Below are 21,711 nucleotides of genomic sequence, written 5' to 3' on the forward strand. Positions count from 1 at the left end.
TGTCTTGGAGGAATAACTGCTGACAGTCGCTTTATCTCAGGGCTGACCCAAACATCTTCCTGCTGACAAACAAATTACTATGTCTAACTTTGAAAAGGTAACTGGCTTGCTTTAATTTTGATTGGTCTTTCAGAATCTCTTATACATATACTGAGCCCCATCCTTCATTGTATTTTTTTAAAAAGGCAACAAAAGTGTTTTGGGGGGGACAGGTTTGAATTAATAAGTAATAAAAAATAGTAAGAAAAGAATAACCCTATTATTTGATGCTAAGAAAAAGAACTGATACGCTTCCTTCCAAGACTGTTATGTGGATGTGACTGGTAAGTCTTAATGTCTACCCAACATTAAGACTGGCAGTGCCGCCAGTGACTGACTGGGTGAGTGAACACATTACTGAGATAGTATAGTAGGAATTAATTTTCTTCAATAAAGTGATTTTTAAGGCTCATATATTTCACAATCTAAACATATGTCACTGTTTCATAAACAAAATAAATGGATTAAAATAATACATTACCAATATGCTGACACATGGAGATATTTTAATTAGAAATGCTTAAGCTGTGTGATATCTAACTGCTGTATTTGCTAAAGAGAAGCATGCATCATTTAATAAGAAGGCATGAGGCAGGTGGATCACTTTGCATATGGTACCAGATTTTGTTTAATATAAGCTACAACTATGAGGCAACACTACTCCCCATTAAAAACAAAACAAAACAAAACAAAATTAAGGGTCTATCATATTGAAAATAACCATATAAAATGAATAAATACACTGAAGTCCCTTTTTCATTAAAAAAAAAAAGTCATCCAGAGCTTAGTTCCCACGACAATATTTCTTCAGAAACAATCTAACATCATCACTATTTAAAGGCTAAATTTACATGACTGCCTCATTATACTGGTTCCCTTTCCTTAACATTCTTTTTGACTTACTTAAGGACCAATGATAACATAGCTGAAGAAAGCAAATGGCAACTGGTCCTGAAATTTATACGGGTGAGAGAACTGGAATAAGCAGCAGTATAATACATTGTTTACTGTAGCAAGTGCTCTCTGTTCTCTAAAGGTCAAAAGCATTGTAACCTTAGAGTTACAGTTTCTGATTGTTCCCAGGGTTTAATAAATTATCAAAATTAATGGTTCAAACCCCTCAACCTTCAGATATATGAGTATTCATGCCTGCATCTGCTGAACTGTTCAACTAAAAATAGCACTCTTTGGCCTTCTTTCTCCTAATATTGTGCCCCTGAGGCAGAGAAAACCATGCCTTAGATCAGCACAGTAGTATTTTAAAAAATGGTCTTTACGGAATCTTCCTTATTTTAAAGAAAGAAAGTAATGGCATATGCTAATATAAGGAGAGTCTTTCAATTTTAAATAACTTTTCTCTACTTGATAAAATTTCAGGGTATACTTAATATATACCAAATGTTGTTAAGATTTACCCAGGCTCATTAATATTAGAAATGACAACCTTTGAAGGACAAATTAACTGTAACATGAAGTAGAGAACACCATTTCTGAGTAATGCATGCAGTGGGGTGGGGGAGTATATGTGTTATAAGCTTTCCCTCCTAAGAATCTCTGTTTAGAAATAAAACCAGTTAATATCATTGTAATGCTTTCTAAGTAGCAATAGTTTATCATGATCATGTTTCTTGACATAACTGTGACATTTTAGCTTATCAAAGGAGGGGAGAAGACCCTAGCTAGAAAAGAAAGCAGATTTAAATAACAATAAACCAAGATATTATTAAAATATCCCTCTACCCTCGCTCAAGATTTAAAACGTTACTATCTAGCACCTTAGATATGGGTGTCTACTATGCTATTCACAGATGTCCCAATAAACATGCTATACTCATACTAGGAAAGTTTGGGAAACCCATCTTTTAAACAAGGTCGATCTTTTCTAACCAGAGTCCACATGAGCAAACAGATCAAAGGTTTCCTGACATGCAGGAAAAAGGTGCAAAAATAGGAGGTAATAGAACAGAGCAAGAGTAAATAAAAACTGAGGAAACTATCAAAGCATCCAGATTTAAACTGCAAAGCTATGAAGGCTCTTGCATTAATGGTTTACCTGTTTAGCCTAATTAAAGTGACAGACACGTGACATATGCTGTGCTTCTAGATCAGCATCACTACAGCACTACAGAGCTCTGACACTCATATGCATGACATCATGGTTTCCAGAAACCCAACAGAAGCCAGATTTGACACATCAGGGATCAGTGATGGTGTGGGGGTTGGGAGTGGGGGGTGGGAGAGAAGCCGATCTGAGTGAAAAATTAGGCAAAAGAAGAGACTGGGTAGAAACCTGGCTAAGGGAAGATTGATGGGATAGAACACAACACTTCAACAGAAAATCCAAAAGAAAAGTCCAACAGGAAAGTCCAACAGGAGAGAAAGAAAAGTCCCACCAGGAGAGGAAACAGAAAAGTCCAGCAGGAGAGGAAGTCTTGAGTTTGAGCCAAGGCTACCTAATTTCTCATTCTTCCAGGCATTTAAAAGCTCTCAAGCTGACTGTCCTGAGTAGATAAGCTTGCTAGTTGTCATCACACATATAAACTTGTTCCTAATGTCCAGTCATTTCTTTCTAGCTCTCCTAGGCATAGATTTTCAGAATGCCCAGAAATGTGGTACTCACTCTACAGCCAAAAGAAAGCCTTAGAAATTTCTTCTGTCTGTATAGAAGGCAGGAGATATTCTGAAAGTATGTGTCTAATCATGTCTGAGTGGAAACCCCCTCTCTACCTCTTATGTCAAAGCAAAAGAAAAGAGGGAGGCAGTTAACAAGCTCTGGAATTCTACCTTAGGCTACTTCCAAGGGGGTCTTTGGTCTTGTCTCTTCCTTTTCTTAGGAGTGATCATTCCCTATCATTTTCCAAAAAGGTAGATTCACAAGCAGCAGAAAAGGTAACGTCAAAGGGACCTTTCATTGACTACATAGTGTTTGAGCTATACAGACCAGCAGAGCCATCAGAAGTTAAATGTACATCTTGCTAGATGCAATTATTTTCATTTTTGGGTTGAGTTTCCCATCCTAGGTTGGACTATAAAATCTGCTATTATATCTAACCCAGAGAATTAAAGTGTGTTTCAGTTTGAGGTAAACTGTATCCACTTTTTAAAAAATTCAACAGATAGCTGGAAATTCTCCAATATGAGAGTCCCAGTGAGGGACCCCGGTGAGGCAGAAAAGGAATTAAGCATGAAATTGGAGAGAGAAGGACTGGGTTCTTATAGAAGAAAAGGTCTTGGTTTTCATAAGCCATCTTCTCTCAGTGGTAAGAATATCCCAACAAAACAACAAAGGACTCTACTGGAAGGTGAAATATGAAAAGAATACTACAGAAGTTTGTCTTGGAAAAAGCAATCATCCAGGCCCAGGCACCCACCCCTACTTCATTCTGAGAAAACTGAGTACGTAGAATTAGAAATCCTGGGCAATAACCTTGACTCAACGAATATTTTATAGCCTTGGTTAAATAACTTAACCTCTCCAAACCTCAGCTGTTTTATCTATACAAGCAGAATTATATTTGATCAAATTTACAGGGTTATTCTATGGTCAAATAATTTTTTAATGTTTAAGTATTTTTTAAAAAATACTATACAACACTATGCATAAGAAAATATAAAAGAGTGAGGGAAGAAACATGGTTTTGAAGACACTTATAATGTAAAGCTTTTGTGTGAATATATATGGCAAAGAACAACCTTAATTCAGGGGCATTGCTTTGGGATTTGCTTTTTTCTCTGAAAGAAAAGGGGCAAAAGAAGAGCCTCCTTAGGAATGAGAAAAAGGGAAAGATTAAGTTCAGTGTTTAGGTTGAGTGTTTGCCACTTTAAAAAAAAAAAAAAAAAGCCTAGAGTATGACTGAACAATCCAGTCCCCAACCCAATGAAGCATCAATGGAAGCATTCATACCTCAATCTGTTTGTGGTTGTAAGAGTGGCCACCACCATGTTCAAAGGTGTCCAAATTCCTGCCAAAACGGTCACTTAGGCCCTTTAGCCTTTGGTTAATTTGTGGGTGGGAGACATGACCCTTCTGTTTAGTAGCATATTCAGAAAAAAAAAAAAAGACAAAACATACTGTCAGAACTCATGAAACAGAATACATATTTCTAAATCCAGGGTATTGACCACATCAAAAAATAGAAAGTAGAAAGTTTAAGACTCAGTTTCTTTCTTTTACAGAAATTTGGTTACAGTATCAAACAGTGGCACTGATTTCTTGTTTCTGCCTCTGACTCAAGAAGATACTCAATAGCACAGCTATAGGAAGAGAAGAAATATATTAGGTTTATAATAGTGAGGGTTCTTTTTAGACTTGCACCAACTATAGTAGGTTTCAGTGTTAGTAGCGTGAAAGGTGAAGGTTTGCAAGAGAGGTGAGGTTGCTGCTCTTCTTAGGCGAAATTTCTAGCTCTGCTAGGCAGCCCATAATGGGTTACATCTTTATAACTTCCTGGATCATGACTCATGACAAAATTTCTCAAAGTATTGCAGAAATTCTTTATTTGCAGATCCAGTTGGAAACATTCAAAATGATGTTTTTTCATGGGACAATAGTTGTATACTTTTTATGTTCAAGTCACATAGAGACTAGCAACACAAAAATAAAAATGCTTCACCAGATGCTATTCTGTAGATAATTTAAGAAAACTCAAAAATAATTATAGTATATTTTAAGAATAAAAACTATCTTTAATAAAACTTTCTACTATATTGAAGTCAAGTTGTTGATTATCTTATATTCTCTAAATATCCAAATACTGAATGTTTGACTTATTTTAATGATCTCAGCTTTTTGTTTTTATTAATACAAATATACATTCATATTCAAAGTCAACCTCCCATTCAAGTGGTAGTAGTAGAAGGGTATAATGATCAGCTATTCCTATTCCAAACTCACTTTATTGTGAAGAAGATAAGGTGTAAATGATTTTTCAATCAGCTTCCAAAACACTTTCCCCCCAAGTTTAGCTTTATAAATAAGAAACACCAATGCAAAATTTATCAGACACCATGCCCTGACTTTTGACCCTAGAAAGGGTGAGGACACATATATTAAGGAGCAATGCATTTACAATTTACAAAATAATTATCATGTAATTTGAAAATAACAACCCCTTATTCTATGAGCTACAAGAAGGAAAAAATATCCAACATCATTTTTGTTTCAATTTTTATATGCAAAAGCTAATCTGGACATAAGTGGAGACACAGATGAAAAACTAACAAGGAAAAAGCTAACATGTATGCAGTAACAACTAGCCATTGAAATTGTAAAACTATTCACTCATCTGATAGAGAATACATAGTATTAAGTCCTAATGTGATCTTTTCCTTTAAAAATATTGAAACTGGCAGTTTTCTCTTCTATTTGCATTACGATAAGCAAATAAGGTGTTAATCCTTCTGGGCTATGCTTAAAAAATTATTTAACATTCAGGCCATTATTTAGCATACAGCTGGTTAGCAGTTTTCCACTAAAGTACTGGCTCATATCCCACATTTTTTTCTTCTGGCACTTACCTGGAGCTGTAAAGGGCTGAGTCCAGAAGCAGCAGCAGCTGCCATTGTTGATGGAATGAACTGTACGGGGTAGTTATCACCTGTCGGAAAGAACAATGCATACAGGTTTAGACAATGCACAGGGAATTGCAGCAGACAAGTACAAACATGGTCCTTGGATTGCCTGAGCTTTACAACATTGCTCTAAGCCCAAACATCTGCAGAAACAAAAGGCTTAGTTGGGCACAGACTTGCAGTGCTGCCTTGGAACTTTTTGTTAACAGATAGCTGGTAGGCAAACTGGCAAAACATGAATGTGATGTTAAAAAAACTTAAATGTGCAATTCAAGCATGTTCACTCCATTGCGAATCTTGTAATACATCATTTTTTAAGAGTAAAAAAATATCTTTAAGCCAGGCTGACACTCAGTACACTGGGAAAGCATTAAGGCTTTTATATTAGAACAACAAAAAGTTTTGGCTTTGTAGGCAAAGAAGAGTATTAGAGTCCAAAAAGGGCTCTGAGCTATTGACTGCTCATAATTCTAAACTTTATTTATTAAACAAGTTTAAAAATTAAAAAATACAACCTCTTCAATATGATAGGGCTGAGAGGACAGCTAATCTTATCTTCCAGCATTCTGTGAAATGTCTGGTATCCCCATAAGTGTAGAAACCATGTTTGTCTGGATTAACCTCTGGTACTGTACTGGTGGATCCTAGTACAGAATCATGCATACTAAGCACTTATCAAACATATTTTAATGATGCTTTGATTAAATAAATGCGCATTTTACATGGAATATCTGTACTAAACACCTGGTAAAGAGTGAGTATGGTTCAGCAGAGATGAATGCTATATCTTAATGTGTTTCTGACTTCAGATCATTCCTAAAAAGGGAGACGGAAGTACCTTCTGTGACCTAAGAACACAGGCTGTGTGCAGTAACCTGAAGAACCAAAACAAAGTAAGGAGAAACATATCATGACAGAGGTAACTGAAATAAAAATTAGTATGTGTGGATAAATTTCACAATATCAGTGATTTAATGGAGTATCACTTTGGCTTCAGCTACTTATTTAAAGTCAGCGTTATGTAATATCTCTAGGCTATATTTTAATAGGCTGTTCCTCCACACATTTTTGACATTTATAATAATCATGTTGTTTTGCATGAACTTTCCACACTGAAAGCTGAATGTAATAATGAATAGACAGCTTAGAAAGAATCTCAGTAATAAAGGCAGTCAACTGGAAAGCAAGAAAACTTTTTTTGGAGTTGGGGTATGGACACGAATACCTGGAGCCTTCCTGGTGACTCTGGTTCCTGGGAACTCATCCTGCTTGCCATATGAAATGCTACTCAGCTGGCCCAATGTAAATGTTAAGTTGCTTTCACTTTTAACAAATTGTTAGCTTCTAATCTACACAGTCTCTTTGCATCATATCCATAATACCTCATCAGACCATTGAGCACAGTGTGTGCTTGTACACAGTCCAGTAACAATTGGCTTCTGATTGCATATGGAGCGCTGCTACAATGCATTCACTAACATTATATTGTGCTGGTCTCCTATGGAGTAATGTTCAAAATATCTGATCTTGTTTTTCTCCTTCCATGAGGTTGATTTTGGTTTGCAGTACTATATGAGCTTTTTAAAAAAGATAACTAGGCCAAATTATTTTTTATAGTAAATGACTGTCACTTTATGCTTAAACAATTCTACTGATCTTCTTGATATTTAAACTAAATTATCTGAAGGAAGAATATCCTAATCTAAGTCAAATAGTATTTCTTTGGTAGATATCAAGTTTTAAAAAAATCACAAAACGATGCTGAATTAATGATGCTTCAAAAATAGGGGAAAAAAATCACCATTCTAACCATCGACATGGACTGCCTCCTGGAACATTTTAGAGCTGTTCTTTCTTTAAATATCATGCATTATTCATACTAACTCTAAACCACAACCCCCCTCCCTGTAAGTTTAATACCAGTTGCTTTATTTGTACTAAAACATTTTTCATGTCAAACATATTTTAAAAAAATCAAACTCTAAAAGAATTCCCTGGGGCACTCCTTTTTTCATAGCTGTCATGCTTCTGTGCTATGAAATAGCTTTTTTTTTTTTTTTTACAGCTTTTGGCTTGCCAGTTAATTTATTACTATCTCTACCACACCCTATAGTACTTTCCAGCTCACCTGCTGGCTACAAACAGCTTTCTTTCCACTGCTGACAGGCATATTTTAAAAACATTTTTAACTTTTATCCTTCTTTGAATCTGTATACCTGAATATAATCTTTAGAAAGCTATTTCTCCATAACATATCATTGTTTCAACATTAAAAGTAAAAATGAATACATTAGAGCAACAGAGTATATAACAGAGAATGATTAGAAGAAAGAGAACAAGGACAAGGCAGGAGGGGTAGAAGATGAGGGAGAAGAAGAGGGAGATTACAAGTAGAAAAGAAAAATTTAAGAGGGAGAGGGATTTAAGGGTATTGTGAAGTTTAGTTTTTTAATAACAAAGTTGCATGTTTCCCTTATGCTGCTCTAATTTTCTGTGTAAGTCAATCAAGAAAAAGTTCTCAGTGCCTGACTTGGCAAGGAATCAGTCAACATGTTGTAGCAATTTTTTTCAAATTTGTCTCTGGATTTGAAATGCTTTCATGAGGACCCATTCTTTTAAAATTTGTACATGGAAGGTGAAGCTTGTTGAAACAGGTTGGCTTTATGCACTACTGTAATCTGGCCCTTGCTACCTCTAGTGTAAGAAGACAACTTTCAAAAACCAATTTGAGAAATAATGTCCATTCTGTAAATCCATTTTCCAGCTTTCTACATATTTCAACTGACAGTTTTTATCATAAGAGTACAAAACAAAGACAAAGTAGGATTTAAAACTTATGGAAAATTTGCTTGACATTAGTTTCACTTGTCAGAATAGGCAGCATTCCTTTGGAATCAAAACAGCAAGAGTCCCTAAATGAGAGAAAATAAATTCTTAAATTTTCATAGAAACTGACATGAAGCAGAAAATTAGTAAAACTTAACGGCAGGAGAAGGGGAGCTTGTACTAAGAACCTACAACCCATTAGATTCAGGCTACCTCCTGCAATAATGCTTTTAATTTGAATAATTCAGATATAAAGTCTACCTTTTAAAAAAAAAAAAAGCCAAAAATCCCATGGGTAAAAGTCTGTCAATTTACTTTCATTCTTCAGAAAGACAAAGGACTGGGATAGTTGCAGTATCCTGAGATAGTAACTTCAGATGTTAACACATTGAAGAAATAATTTAGAAAGTTTGGAAGGAGTAGAGAGAGAAAAAAAATAAAACAGAACTAGAAGACGGGACAAAAGATTCTTCAGTCGCATACCTCATTTCCCAGCCTCCATAACAGAAGAAAAATATGTTACACATCCCTAACTAACTCAAAAATTATTGTGTGCCAGCATCATAAAATGATAATAAGTTGCCAAACAACTATAGAGCCCACCTTTATGAGCTATAGCCATTCTTGTTACAATATGAACATATTTGAATCACAACCACTGATGCAAACTTGAACATACCACTTAGCATGGATCTTGCCTGGATGCACGCATTTGGTACAGCAAAATATTACAATTCCTCTACACTCTGAGGGAATGCCATAAGTCTGAATTTGTCTTTATGCGAAACCACACTGTAGTAAATGTTAGCAGGTAATAGGTGACACAAAAGCTTCAATTTGTCCTGAGGACAAATGAAAAATAAAATTAGCAAGGATTATAATATATATTGTTGAGATCACTATGTTGTTATTTCTCCTGCTAAATTTCTCCCTTTCTATTCGTCAAAGAATAGATCAATGATGAAAAGAGTCTTGACCTCAGAATTTCTTCTAAGATCATCTGCAGTGTTTTTTCTACCTTTAAGAAAGCTAAGAATCAAGGCTCAACCTTACTTTCTTCACTTATTTCACAGCTGCATCCAAACCCTTGACCAATCATCCGAAAATCTGTGGAATTTGTCACAATGGCAATTAAATAAGTGAGTGTGAATGAACTCACATAAATTCATCCCCATTACATAAAATTGATTTAAAAAATCCTCAGTTTCATACTAGGGATGCAGGGATGGCTTAACATATGGAAATCAATACACATGATACACCACATAAACAGAATTAAAAATAAAACTCACATGATCATCTCAATATATGCAGAAAAAGCATTTAACAAAATCCCAACATCCCTTTGTGATTAAAACCCTCAGCAAAATTAGCATAGAAGGGACATACCTTAAAGCAATAAAAGCCATCTACAACAAACCCACAGCGAACATTATAGTGAATGAGAAAGAGTTGAAAGCATTCTCCCTAAAAGCTGGAACAAGACAAGGATACCCACTTTAACCACTTCTATTCAACATAGTACTGGAAGTCCTAGCAAGAGCAATGAGACAACAGACAGAAAATAGGGGCATCCAAATCGGTAAAAAGGAAGTCAAAGTGTCGCTGTTTGCTCATGATATGATTGTATACCTAGAAAGTCCTAAAGACTAATCCAAAAAGCTCCTAGAACTGGTAAATGAATTCAGCAAAGTTTCAGGATACAAAATTAATGTACACAACGTAGTGGCTCTGCTATACACCAACAGTGACCAAGCTGAGAATCAAATCAAGAACTCAACCCCTTTCACAATAGCTGCAATAAAATAAAATACTTAGGAATATACCTAACTAAAGATGTGAAAGACCTCTACAAGAAAACTACAAAACACTGCTGAAAGAAATCATAGATTATATAAACAAATGGAAACACATCCCATGCTCATGGTTGGGTAGGATCAATATTTTAAAAATGACTATACTGCCAAAAGCAATCTACAAATTCAATGTGATTCCCATAAAAATACCACTATAATTCTTCAAGGAACTAGTAAAAAGAATCCTAAAATATATATGAAACCAAAATGAGCCTGCATAGCCAAAGACAGACTAAGCAAAAAGAATAAATCTGGAGGCACCACATTACCTGACTGCAAACTATACTATAAGGCCATAGTCACCAAAACAGCATGGTACTGGTATGAAAATAGGCACATAGACCAATAGAACAGAATAGAGAACCCAGAAATAAAGCCAAATACTTCCAGCCAACTGATCTTCAACAAAGCAGACAAAAACATAAAATGGGGAAAGACACCCTATTCAACAAATGATGCTGGAATAATTGGCAAGCCACACGTAGAATGAATCTGGATCCTCATCTCTCACCTTGTAAAAAACTTCAGCTCAAGATGGATCAAAGACTTAAATCTAAGACCTGAAACCATAAAGATTCTAGAAGATAACATTGGAAAAAACCCTTCTAGACATTGGCTTAGGCAAAGAATTCATCACCAAGAACCCAAAAGCAAATGCAACAAAAGCAAAGATAAATAGATGGGACTTAATTAAACTAAAAAGCTTCTGCACAACAAAAGAAATAATCAGCAGAGTTAACAGACAACCCACAGAGTGGGAGAGAATCTTCGCAATCTATACATCCAACAAAGAACTAATATCCAGAATCTACAAAGAACTCAAATCGCAAGAAAAAAAACAAACAATCCCATTAAAAAGTGGGCAAAGGACATGAATAGACAATTTTCAAAGGAAGATACACAAATGGCCAATGATCATATAAAAAAAAGCTCAACATCACTAATTGTCAGGGAAGTGCAAATCAAAACCACAAGGCAATACCACCTCACTCCTGCAAGAATGGTCATAATAAAAAAAAAATAAATAATGATACTGGCGTGGATGTGGTGAAAAGGGAACACTTTTACACTGTTGGGAATGTAAACTAGTACAAACACTATGAAAAAGAGTATGAAGAGTCCTTAAAGAACTAAAAGTAGACCTACTGTTTGATCCAGCAATCCCACTACTAGGTATCTACCCAGAGGAAAAGAAGTCACTACATGAAAAAGATACTTGCACATGCATGTTTACAGCAGCACAATTTGCAGTTGCAAAAATATGGAAACAGCCCAAATGCTCATCAATCTACGCATGGATAAAGAAAATGTGGTATATATATATATACACCATGGAATACTACTCAGCCATAAAAGGGAATGAAATAATGGCATTCACAGCAACCTGGTTGGAATTGGAGATTATTATTCTAAGTGAAGTAACTCAGAAATGGAAAACCAAGCATCGTATTCTCACTCACATGTGAGAGTTCAGCTATGAGGAATGCAAAGGCATAAGAATGACACATTGAACTTTGGGGATTGGGGGAAAGGTTGGGGGATAGCGAGGTATAAAAGACTACATATTGGGTACAGTGTACACTGCTTGGGTGATGGGTGCACCAAAATCTCAGAAATCACCACTATTGACATTCAAAAAATAAAACAAATAAAAATTAAAAATTAAAAAATAAACTCTCAAAGTTCATGCCTTCATGATAGCTCATCAATGATATAGCCTCCATCTACAGAGGAGAACACAGTTAAGATTATAGACCTTTAAAAAACTAGGTTAGTTTACACAGCTGAACATATTTTCTTCCTGGACCCCAACACCGATTTAAAAATTAGGGTGCTAATCTGAAGAACCTCAGAAATGCTTTGATTCTGAGTAGATATATTTAAATAATCAACTATTACAATAGCAGTTCATATCTCTGCTTTGAAATACTCTGGAAGAGACAGAAATGAGTGGCTTTACAAGATGTCATTTGCATAACACCACATGTAAAAATTACATTTTATTCACTGAGAAAAGGTCAGATTTTCTTAAGATCACACATACTTAGACCAAGGCCCCAAGAGTATGAAGTGTCAAATCAGAGAACTTCAGTCTGAATTCTATCTCCGCTATTTCAAGATGTGGAACTCTTGGAAAAGTTAACTTTTTTGAGTATCAGTTTCTTATTTTCTTTTAATAAAGCAGAGATGATACCATTTATTACCACTTATATCTAAGAGTTATTATGAAAATTAAATGAGATTACACACATACACACACACACACATACACAGGTTGGGGGTTATTAAATGAGATTACACACATACACACACACACACATACACAGGTTGGGGGTTATCTTGGAAAACAAATGGTGCTCAATAAATGCTAACTAAAACAAAGAAATTAAAAAGAAGCCCTGAATAATTATGCAGTCATAACAATTGTACATTAACCAATTCAACACCTAGGAGAAATGGACAAATTCCTTAAAACATGAATATTACCCAACTCAAGAAGAAATAGAAAACCTCAACAGACCCATAACAAGTAAAGACAATGAATCAATGATCAAAGACCTCCCAGTAAGGAAAAGCTCTGGCCTAGATGGCTTTACCAACGGATTCTGCCAAATGTTTAAAGAAGAATTAATACCAATCCTTTTCAAACTCTTACAAAAAAAAAATGAAGGGGAGGGAGTACTTCTAATTCATTTTATAAGGCTAACATTATCTTGATACCAAAACCAGATAAAGATATCACAGGAAAAGAAAGCTACAGTCCACTATCCCATATAAATATAGATATAAAAATCTTCAACAAAATATTAGCAAAACAAATCCAATGGCAAATTAAAAGAATTACTTACCAGGGCAAAGTGGAATTTATCCCAAGAATGCAAGGGATCAAATCAGTGTCAAGCATTACATTAATAGAACAAAGGGAAAAAAAAACCAACATGATCATCTCAATTGACACAGAATAGGCATCTGACAAAAGTCTAATATTATTCCATCATAAAAAATTCTCAGAAAACTAGTAATAGAGGAAAAAGACCTCGGCATGATGAAACCTATTTATAAAAAGCCTACAGCTGGCCAAGTGTGGTGGCACGTGCCTATAGTCCCAGCTACTTGGGAGGCTGAGGTAGAAAGATTGCTTGAAGCCAGGAGTTCAAGGCCACAGTGAACTATGATCATACCTCTTAATTCTAGCCTGGACAACAGAGCTAGACCCTGTTTGTTAAACAAACAAACAAACATCCACAGCTAACTTCATATTCAATGGTGAAAGACTGAAAGCTTTCCCCTTAAGATCGAGAACAAGACAATAATGTTCACTTTCACTGCTGCTATTCAGTCTTGTAGTGGAAGTGCTAGCCACTGCTATTAGACAAGAAAAAGAAATAAAATGTATCAAATTGGTAAGGGAGAGGTAAAACTATTTGTATTTGCAAATGACATAATCCTATATATAGAAAATCCCAAAGAGTCCCTGAGAAAGCTACTAGAATTAATAAATTCAGCAAAGTTGCAGAGTATAAGCTTAACACGCAAGTATCAGCTGTGTTTCTAAACATCAGCAACGAACAACCCAAAAGAAAATTAAGAAAACAATTTCATTTACGAAAGTATTAAAAAGAACTAAACACTTAGGGATAAATCTAACCAAGGAGATGAAAGACTTGTATGTTGAAAACTATAAAACGTTTTTGAAAGAAATTAAAGATGACATAAATAAATGGAAAAGCATCTGTGCTCATGGGTAGGAAGATTTAACACTGTTAAGATGGCAATACTACCCAAAGCAACCTGCAGAGTCAAAGCAATCCCTATCAAAATTACAACAACCTATTTCACAGAAATGGAAAAGCCAATTCACAAATTAATATGGAATTACAAGAGGTCCCAATAACTAAAACAATCTTGAAAAAGACGAATAAAGTTGGAAAGCTCATAGTTCAAATTTTAACACAAAGCTACAGCAATTAAAACAGGATGGTACTGGCATAAGGAGACATATATATATATATACATATGTGTGTGTGTATATATATATACATATCTACCAATTAAATATAATAGAAAGCTCAAAATTAAAACCTTTACATATATAGTTGATTGATTTTTGACAAAGGTGCAAAAACCATTGAATGGGGGAAGGGATAGTCTTATCAACAAATGTTGTGGGGAAAACTGGACATCCATGTGCAAAAGATGTAAAACAATAGAAAAAGGTTTTACCTTACACAGTATACAAAAATCAACTCAAATGGATCAAAGACATAAACTTAGAAGCTAAAAAAACTAAACCCTTAGAAGAAAACATAGTGGTAAATCTTTATGACATTGGATTTGGCAATGATTTCATTGATATAACATCAAAAGCACAGGCACCAAAGGAAAAAATGGATAAATTGGACTCCATCAAAATTAAGAACTTTAGTGTATAAAAAGATACTATGAAGAATGCTAAAAGACAAATTACAGAATGGGAGAAAATATTTGTAAATGATATATCTGATAAGGTATTAATATCCACAATACACAAATAACTGAAACTCAACAACAACAAAAGCCCAACTCAAAAATGGGAAAACTACTTGAATAGACAGTTCTCCACAGGAGATATCCAAATGGCCAATGAGGACATGAAAAGATGATCAGCATCATAAATCATTAAGGAAATGTAAATCAAAATCACAGCGAGATACCACTTCACACCTACTGGGATGATAATAATAAAAAAATTTAGTTGAAAATAACAAGTGTTAGCAACAATGTGAAGAAATTGGAACCCTCTTACATTTCTCGTGGGAATATAAAATGGCACGGCTACTGTGGAAAACAGTTTGGTGGTTTCTCAAAAGTTTAAACATAGAACTTCATATAATCCATTAATTCAACTCACAGGTATATATCCAAAAGGATTGAAAGTGGGGACTCTAACAAACATTTCTATAACCATATTCACAGAAGTATTATTCATAATAGCCAAAAGGTAGAAACAAACTAAGTGCCTATCAACAGATGAACAGATAAACAAAATGTGATCTGTATACATATATATGTATATATATGTATATATATATACATATATATACATATATATACACAATTGAATATTATTCAGCAATAAAATTATATTTTAATGTATGCTACAATATGGATGGACCTTGAAATGTTATGCTTACCAAAATAAGCTAGACATAGAAGGATAAATATTGTATTATTCCAATTATATGAAGTACCTACAATAAGCAAATGCATAGAGAAAAATAATAGAATAGAGGTTACCAGAGACTAAGGGTAGAGGGATAGAGAGAGTTATTATTTAATGGCTACAGCATTTTTGTTGGGTATGATGAAAAAGTTTTGGGTATGGATTGTGGTGTTGGTTATACAATATTGAAAATATATTAACGCCACTGAGTTATATACTTACAAATGGCTAAAACAATAACTATTATATTATGTATATTTTACTGCAATAAAAAAGAAACATTAGGTATACTTGTAAAATTGTTTTTGGTCGTTGAGCAGAGGGACACTATGACTCAGTCTAACACTCAGCTTTTGGGCCGCATTTCCAATGGATAAGGATGTAGTTTAACAGGCTAAAGTTACTCAGTTTCACCGTCAGACTTTACTCCCAATCTTAGTGCTTTATCATTTTCAGAGAACTTTTAGATATTTTACAAAATTTAATTTTCACGTCCACGTTGGGTAGTGAACAAATCGTGACACATTTCTTAGATGACAAAAAGTGAGGTTCAGCAAGATTAAATGACATGTTCAAGTAAGGATGAAATAAAATAGTCCATGTGAAATATGTAGCACAGTATTTGGCACAGTATCAATCAGTAAGCTTTAGCTATTATTATTATCATATATTATCATATCATAACTAGTGAGTAAATGGAAGACCCAGGAACAGGCAGACATCCTGTTCCTAGGACCTTCTAGGAAACTTCAAGTGTGCTTTCTAGCCGCAATCATGTAAAAAATTCCAACTACATAAAGCAATGGGTCAGCTAAATCAAGCCTGAAGTATGAAGGGGGCTACTCATCGTTTCTGTTTTTCAGGCAAGCTGATCTTGATTGGATATACACATTGGCAACTGTGAAAGATGCTTTATCTTTTAATTTTCTCCAATATTTGTGCTCAAATGTATCTATCTTACTCTTGATTGGTGCACCTCTCTGTATCACAATGTGAAAGAGCAAAGCAACCAAAAGTCTGTGGTTTATGTTCTGGGATCTGATGATGAGTTCCTATCAAGAAATATGTCTCTAATTATAGAACCTGTAAAACATTTTTAAAAATAGGGATTAAAACTCAATAAAGCTATTTCTAGAGAGAACAATCTGAAAGATGCTGTCCTGGAGCTGAACAATCCCTGTGGGCAGCATGCCCCCTCAGCAACCCACTGAGGTGGGAGAGCTTGCCTAGTGTTTACTACACGCTGGGACTCTGAAATGCCCAGAGGCACAGGTCAAATCATAGGGTGGGGAGTGAAGGCCTATAACCCTAAATGTATTTGCTTACACTGTCTTAACATGGATTCAGAAACAGTCAACTTTAACAAACAATGAATGTCACCCCAAGGTAGTCCTTGCTCTCTGGAAATTAAGATAATTATTCAATCAGCTGAAGGCACAAATACCATGAAATCATTTCAGATACGGGAAAGTGGAAAGGGAAAAAAAAAGGAAATTTATTTTTTTCAATTTATAAAGACCAAGGTAGCACTTGTTCATCTTGTTGTTTAGGGAACCAGAATACAAATTTATGCCACCAATTCAAGGTTTTCTTTCAAAAATTTAGTCATTGCTGTCTCACATACATTTCTTTTCTTTTTTATTTTATTTTATTTTATTTCATTTTGTTTTTGAGACAGGGTCTCACTCTGCTGCTAAGACTGGAGTGCAGTGGCAGAATCACGGCTCACTGCTGCCTCAACCTACCGGGCTCAAGCAATCTTCCCACCTCAGCCTCCTGGGTAGCTAGGACTACAGGTGAACACCACCATGCTTTGCTAACTTTTTAATCTTTTTAGAGACAAGGGCTCACTATGTTGTCCAGGCTGGTCTTGAACTCCTGGGCTTGAGTGATCCTCCCACCCCTCAGCCTCCCAACGTGCTGGGATTACAGGCATGAGCCACCACACCCAGCCCTCACATACATTTCAAGTGAAGTTACCATAGCTCAGTTTGGGGCAAAAAGAAGTTGTATTGTACTTGTCCAGTTTCCAGTCCAATAGAAGTCTCTTCACCTAATTCATGTGAATGATAAAAACACTGCATAGATTGATTAAGTCTTCTGAGGATGTAATTTCTCTACTAATAGCGTAAGAACATATAATTTTAATGAATTTTAAACACATTTTTCATATACAATAAAGCCTAGGTTAGCCAAAATATTGAAAGAATTAGAGTTCTGATTAATGAAATTGTCTGACATAATTTAGGAGTCACACGAAAGTAAACACTTTTTTTTACCAACCTTGCTTGTAATTAAAACTCTTCCTACATCTCAAAACCCATTGTCCTGCCTTATCCAACACAGTTTGGCCAACATAATCAAATACAGCTCTGTTACCCCAGGACACTAACTTTAAGCTGCCCTTTGTTCAATAGAAGTAACTAATTTCTGCACAATATTGTCCCAATTTCTCTGTTTTTCTCAGTTACATATTATAATCTCATTAATGCTGTTAGAGAAGACATTTGAAAAATGGTCTAAAATCACTAATAAAACAATATCTTCCCCCATGAAAAGTGGCGGTATTGTTTCAACAAAATTAGGTAAGCAAGATGTCTACGTCTAACAGAAAATAAGACCCATAACTGATTTTGAAATGTGGATAAATTTAACTTTAAAAACACTGAAGTCAAATAGATAATTTCCACATACAGTTCATTTAAAATGTTTCTGGGACTGGTACAGGGGTGTCAAACTCAAATTCAGAATAGAACAGTAAACTTGGCTTACTTCAATGTTCCAAAGAAAGTCAAAATGAAGAAGTAGTTTAGAATGACTTACAGAGATCACAGGAAGACTGAACCACTTCACTAAAAAAAAAAAAAAATTCTCTGAAAAAATATACTCCTGTCCTTAATATAGATGCCAATGTCATAGTAGCTAAGTATACCTTGTTCTAAAAATCATGCTCTAGAAAAATGAATTTTTAACAATTTGAATGACATAATTTTCTCTCAGGTATCCAAAAACCTTTTGGTAATATGAGTTTGATTCATTTATATGTGAGGAATTTTCAGACAGCCCTTAAACTCACCAATCTCATAACATCTCAATTCCTTGAATCATTCGTGTTTTGCCACAGACATCCTACCTTTTCTTACAAAGAAGGAAGTTCTCTATCAAATACAAAAGAGTAATCACTGGCAACAAGCAATTAAAACAGATGCTAAAATGCACTAGGCTTGTTTTTATGCTATTTAATAAGCTTTCTTCTCCAGAATTTTAGTAAAGTGATTTATATTTTATTATTGCTCTAAGCATATTAAAACGCCTTTGTTCACTTTATAAACCACATACACAAAGAAACTGCTGCACGCAGATTTGTTGTACTCAGATTTGATGGTAAATATAATCAGGTTAATATGTTAAAAAGAACTTGACACAGAAATTATTAATGAGTAGAACAAGGTCACTACTTCTGAGCTGAGGTCACTTACAAAGAATGCACAAATGAAATTAAGGTTGACTTTTATTTACTTGACTATCTTCTTACATTGGATTCCTTTGGCAACATATCTTTAAACATTTAAAGCCCTGTTTACAAGGAGGCTCTGAAAGAAGCTTCAAACCATTATGCCCCTAATTGAATTCCCCAGGAGTCCAGTAAACTCCGAGGAAAAAAGAAAAATCACAACATTTGCTAAATCATCTTAAAACATATTTCACTGCAAGGTTACATGACCTGTTTTTTGAGGTTTAAAAATGAATTAAAAAGTACTGAATACTTCATTTTTTTAGATGAAAATCAAAAACAATTTTACCATTAGTGGTAAGCTAATTAAATCAGTCTAGTTTTAACTATCTTTCTAAGAGAAGTCTGACAACAAACAATGACATTTTATACTGAATGTGATCACTTTTCCAGAATATAACAGCTCTCACCAGGAGAAAAGGATCTTTAACCAAAAAACAATTATTCACAGTAAAAGTATGAGAGAGAGCTGACAAAAACATTGTAGTCCCCAGGGAAAGTAGTATCTTATCTGTGAATTCAAGACAAACTCAAGTGGAAGAAGAGAAAGTAAAAGTTTTTAGCAACCAATTAGTTTATTACAATGCCCACTCTTCCCAATTCTAATTTTACTTTAAAATAAGCTTTTATGATATTTTTATTCATAGTTCCCTGGCATGCTCCTGTGTTTGTTGTGAGTACTAAGCATAAACATGCAGATCTGAGCATTTGGAAAAGAATGTTAAATCCCTCTCTACTTACCTGGTTTGTATGTTATTCCAGGGGGGAAGAGGAATCCCTGTTGGGCAGCAGCAGCTGCTGCCAGAGTCCGCTGGTCATGTGGAAAAATTGGGATCATGAGCGGAGGCATGTGACCCTGAACCTGCTAAACAGAAGAGAGCCTATGATCAGACAGGGAGCAAATGTATGCCAAGAAGAATTTGTTTTTCACTCCTGGTGGTGTGCTGGTACCCACACAGCCACCCACCTCTAACCTCATTCCAAATCTGCAATCTGAGAAAATTCAGTTAAAATCCACCAAATCCCTTTTCTGAGATGCTAATAGCATACCGAAGACGTAACTTCATTGTGCATTTGCCTCGTCCCTGCTTCCACCGAACTGTAGTTAATGGTTTTCTTTTCTCTTGACTTTTTTCCTTTTATTTTTTCTTTTAAACAAAGAACTAGAAGAAATAAGTTTGCTTCCTTTCTAGCACTGTACAATGTTGAGAGGTTTTGCCCTTTCACCTGCTTTGCATTCTGTGCTTTCTTTCAAAAACAGTATTTAGTATCCATGGTCAGAAAATAATGTCTAATTAATATATATTCTAAAAGCTGTATCTCCCCAGTTTAGGTATCTTATTTCAAAGCCTCATGCATTATGTTAAACATATAGCTCTTCAGATTTAAGGCTACTACATCTTGGCTCCCAATTAAAGTAATACTCTTTGCCATACACACCTCGATGTAACATATAAATTGCTTGTCTGGCTAAGCAGTTTTACAGCTTTATGCACTACCATGTAGCTCAGTAATTATGGAGTTGTTTTCAGAGAACATTTCATAATAAATCCTACTATATCAAATTTCATTTGACCTCAATAAATGTATCAAAGAGCACAAAAAATGCAAAATAGAAAAATCTTTACTCTATATCAGTATTTGTATTCCATATAAAGAAAATAAGAGCTATGACAGAATCATGCTTGTGAAAATTACATTTTAATTTCCTAGCTTCCTTCTTTACTCTATGCATGCTGCCCGGATTCCAGGATAGCATGACAGGAAGGTTTTGTCCTGGCTTTCAGGGCACAGTTTTATAGGTTGAATACAGGACTTTTCTTATTTAAAGATGAAAACTAAGATATACCAAAAGAAATTATCTTTAAGTTCAAACAGGGTATTTAGCCTTTTCACTGGTATAAAAGGGCTATATTATATCTTTTTTAAGATACAAACCTTTACCAGTAATTCTTCCAACCCCAAACCCTTCCCTGTCTAAATTCCTAAATCTTCTCTTTAGGCAAAATTCCATACACTGGCTAATGACCCTGTTTAATTAGCACTGACTTGCCTTGTCCTGTCCCTGTTCCCTTCATAGCCAGGGACACAGTGCAAAAAATGCTTCTGTGTAGGTCTAAGAGGTTTCGTTTACCAACAGTTTTTCTCTAGGGAAAGCCCTAAGATGTGGGTTAATAAAGGGCAAGCAAAAAATAAACACTTTACAGGATTTTTCTGAATTCATTTCTCAAGAAAATCAACTTATAATAAAAAGGTCTTTGTGCAATTACTACCTTGCCAGTGGGGCATGAAAGAAACTAGCTTTGAGCAGCTATTTCTTCCATTTTAGCTGAGGTAAGCCCAAGTTTCGTACATTAGAGTACAAACTAAGCCTGCTTAAATTGGAGCTGATCCCCCAGTGCCCAGGTCTTGCCTTTAACCCTGAAGAAAAGCACCGGGTTTGCTGTTGAACTCTAGCTTGTTGTACCCTGATGCAAACCTGAGACATCAGAGACGAGGGCACTATTCTATGCCAGAAAATAAAACACAATATTTTTATGGGTTACAATTGTTCAGTGCAAGAGTACATCAAAGGAAATAATTTCATTTGCCTCCAGAAATATGGCCCTAATATGTACCTAAAATATAGCACAGATGGCTTATACTCTAAAAAGGGAGAAAAAGAAAGTGAGGAGTTTGGATATTATATTTATTTATTATTT

General features: G+C 35.0%; 1 protein-coding gene across 6 annotated transcripts in view, besides 3 other annotated features; it reads right to left on the reverse strand.

Annotated features, from left to right (window-relative positions):
- Positions 1-21,711, reverse strand: part of SOX6 (SRY-box transcription factor 6) — a 772,029-nt gene that overhangs the window by 125,604 nt on the left and 624,714 nt on the right. For 3 of the 6 annotated variants that reach the window (NM_033326.3, NM_001145819.2, NM_001367873.1), the window contains exons 7-9: positions 19,751-19,871; positions 5,557-5,636; positions 3,944-4,066 (exon numbers count right to left, since the gene is read on the reverse strand). In NM_033326.3, coding sequence (NP_201583.2) covers positions 3,944-4,066; positions 5,557-5,636; positions 19,751-19,871 — 324 coding nt within the window. The remainder of the gene's footprint in view (positions 1-3,943; positions 4,067-5,556; positions 5,637-19,750; positions 19,872-21,711) is intronic. The other 3 variants (NM_001367872.1, NM_001145811.2, NM_017508.3) reach the window with 1 other exon arrangement.
- Positions 6,877-7,077: a silencer, noted in NCBI's record as "peak1213 fragment used in MPRA reporter construct". NCBI's record gives its function as "represses an SCP1 promoter by STARR-seq MPRAs in K562 erythroleukemia cells {active_cell/tissue: K562}" and the evidence as "EXISTENCE:reporter gene assay evidence [ECO:0000049][PMID:32103011]".
- Positions 19,743-19,887: an enhancer, noted in NCBI's record as "145 bp 11:16133413 sequence used in MPRA reporter constructs". NCBI's record gives its function as "activates a minimal TATA-containing promoter with rs4617548 allelic activity by MPRAs in UACC903 melanoma cells {active_cell/tissue: UACC903}" and the evidence as "EXISTENCE:reporter gene assay evidence [ECO:0000049][PMID:36423637]".
- Position 19,815: a transcriptional cis regulatory region, noted in NCBI's record as "rs4617548 or 11:16133413 MPRA-significant variant associated with a GWAS melanoma risk locus at 11p15.2". NCBI's record gives its function as "allelic transcriptional activity by MPRAs in UACC903 melanoma cells {active_cell/tissue: UACC903}" and the evidence as "EXISTENCE:reporter gene assay evidence [ECO:0000049][PMID:36423637]".

The sequence above is a fragment of the Homo sapiens genome, chromosome 11 (genome assembly GCF_000001405.40).
Source record: "Homo sapiens chromosome 11, GRCh38.p14 Primary Assembly".
Lineage (NCBI taxonomy): Eukaryota > Metazoa > Chordata > Mammalia > Primates > Hominidae > Homo > Homo sapiens.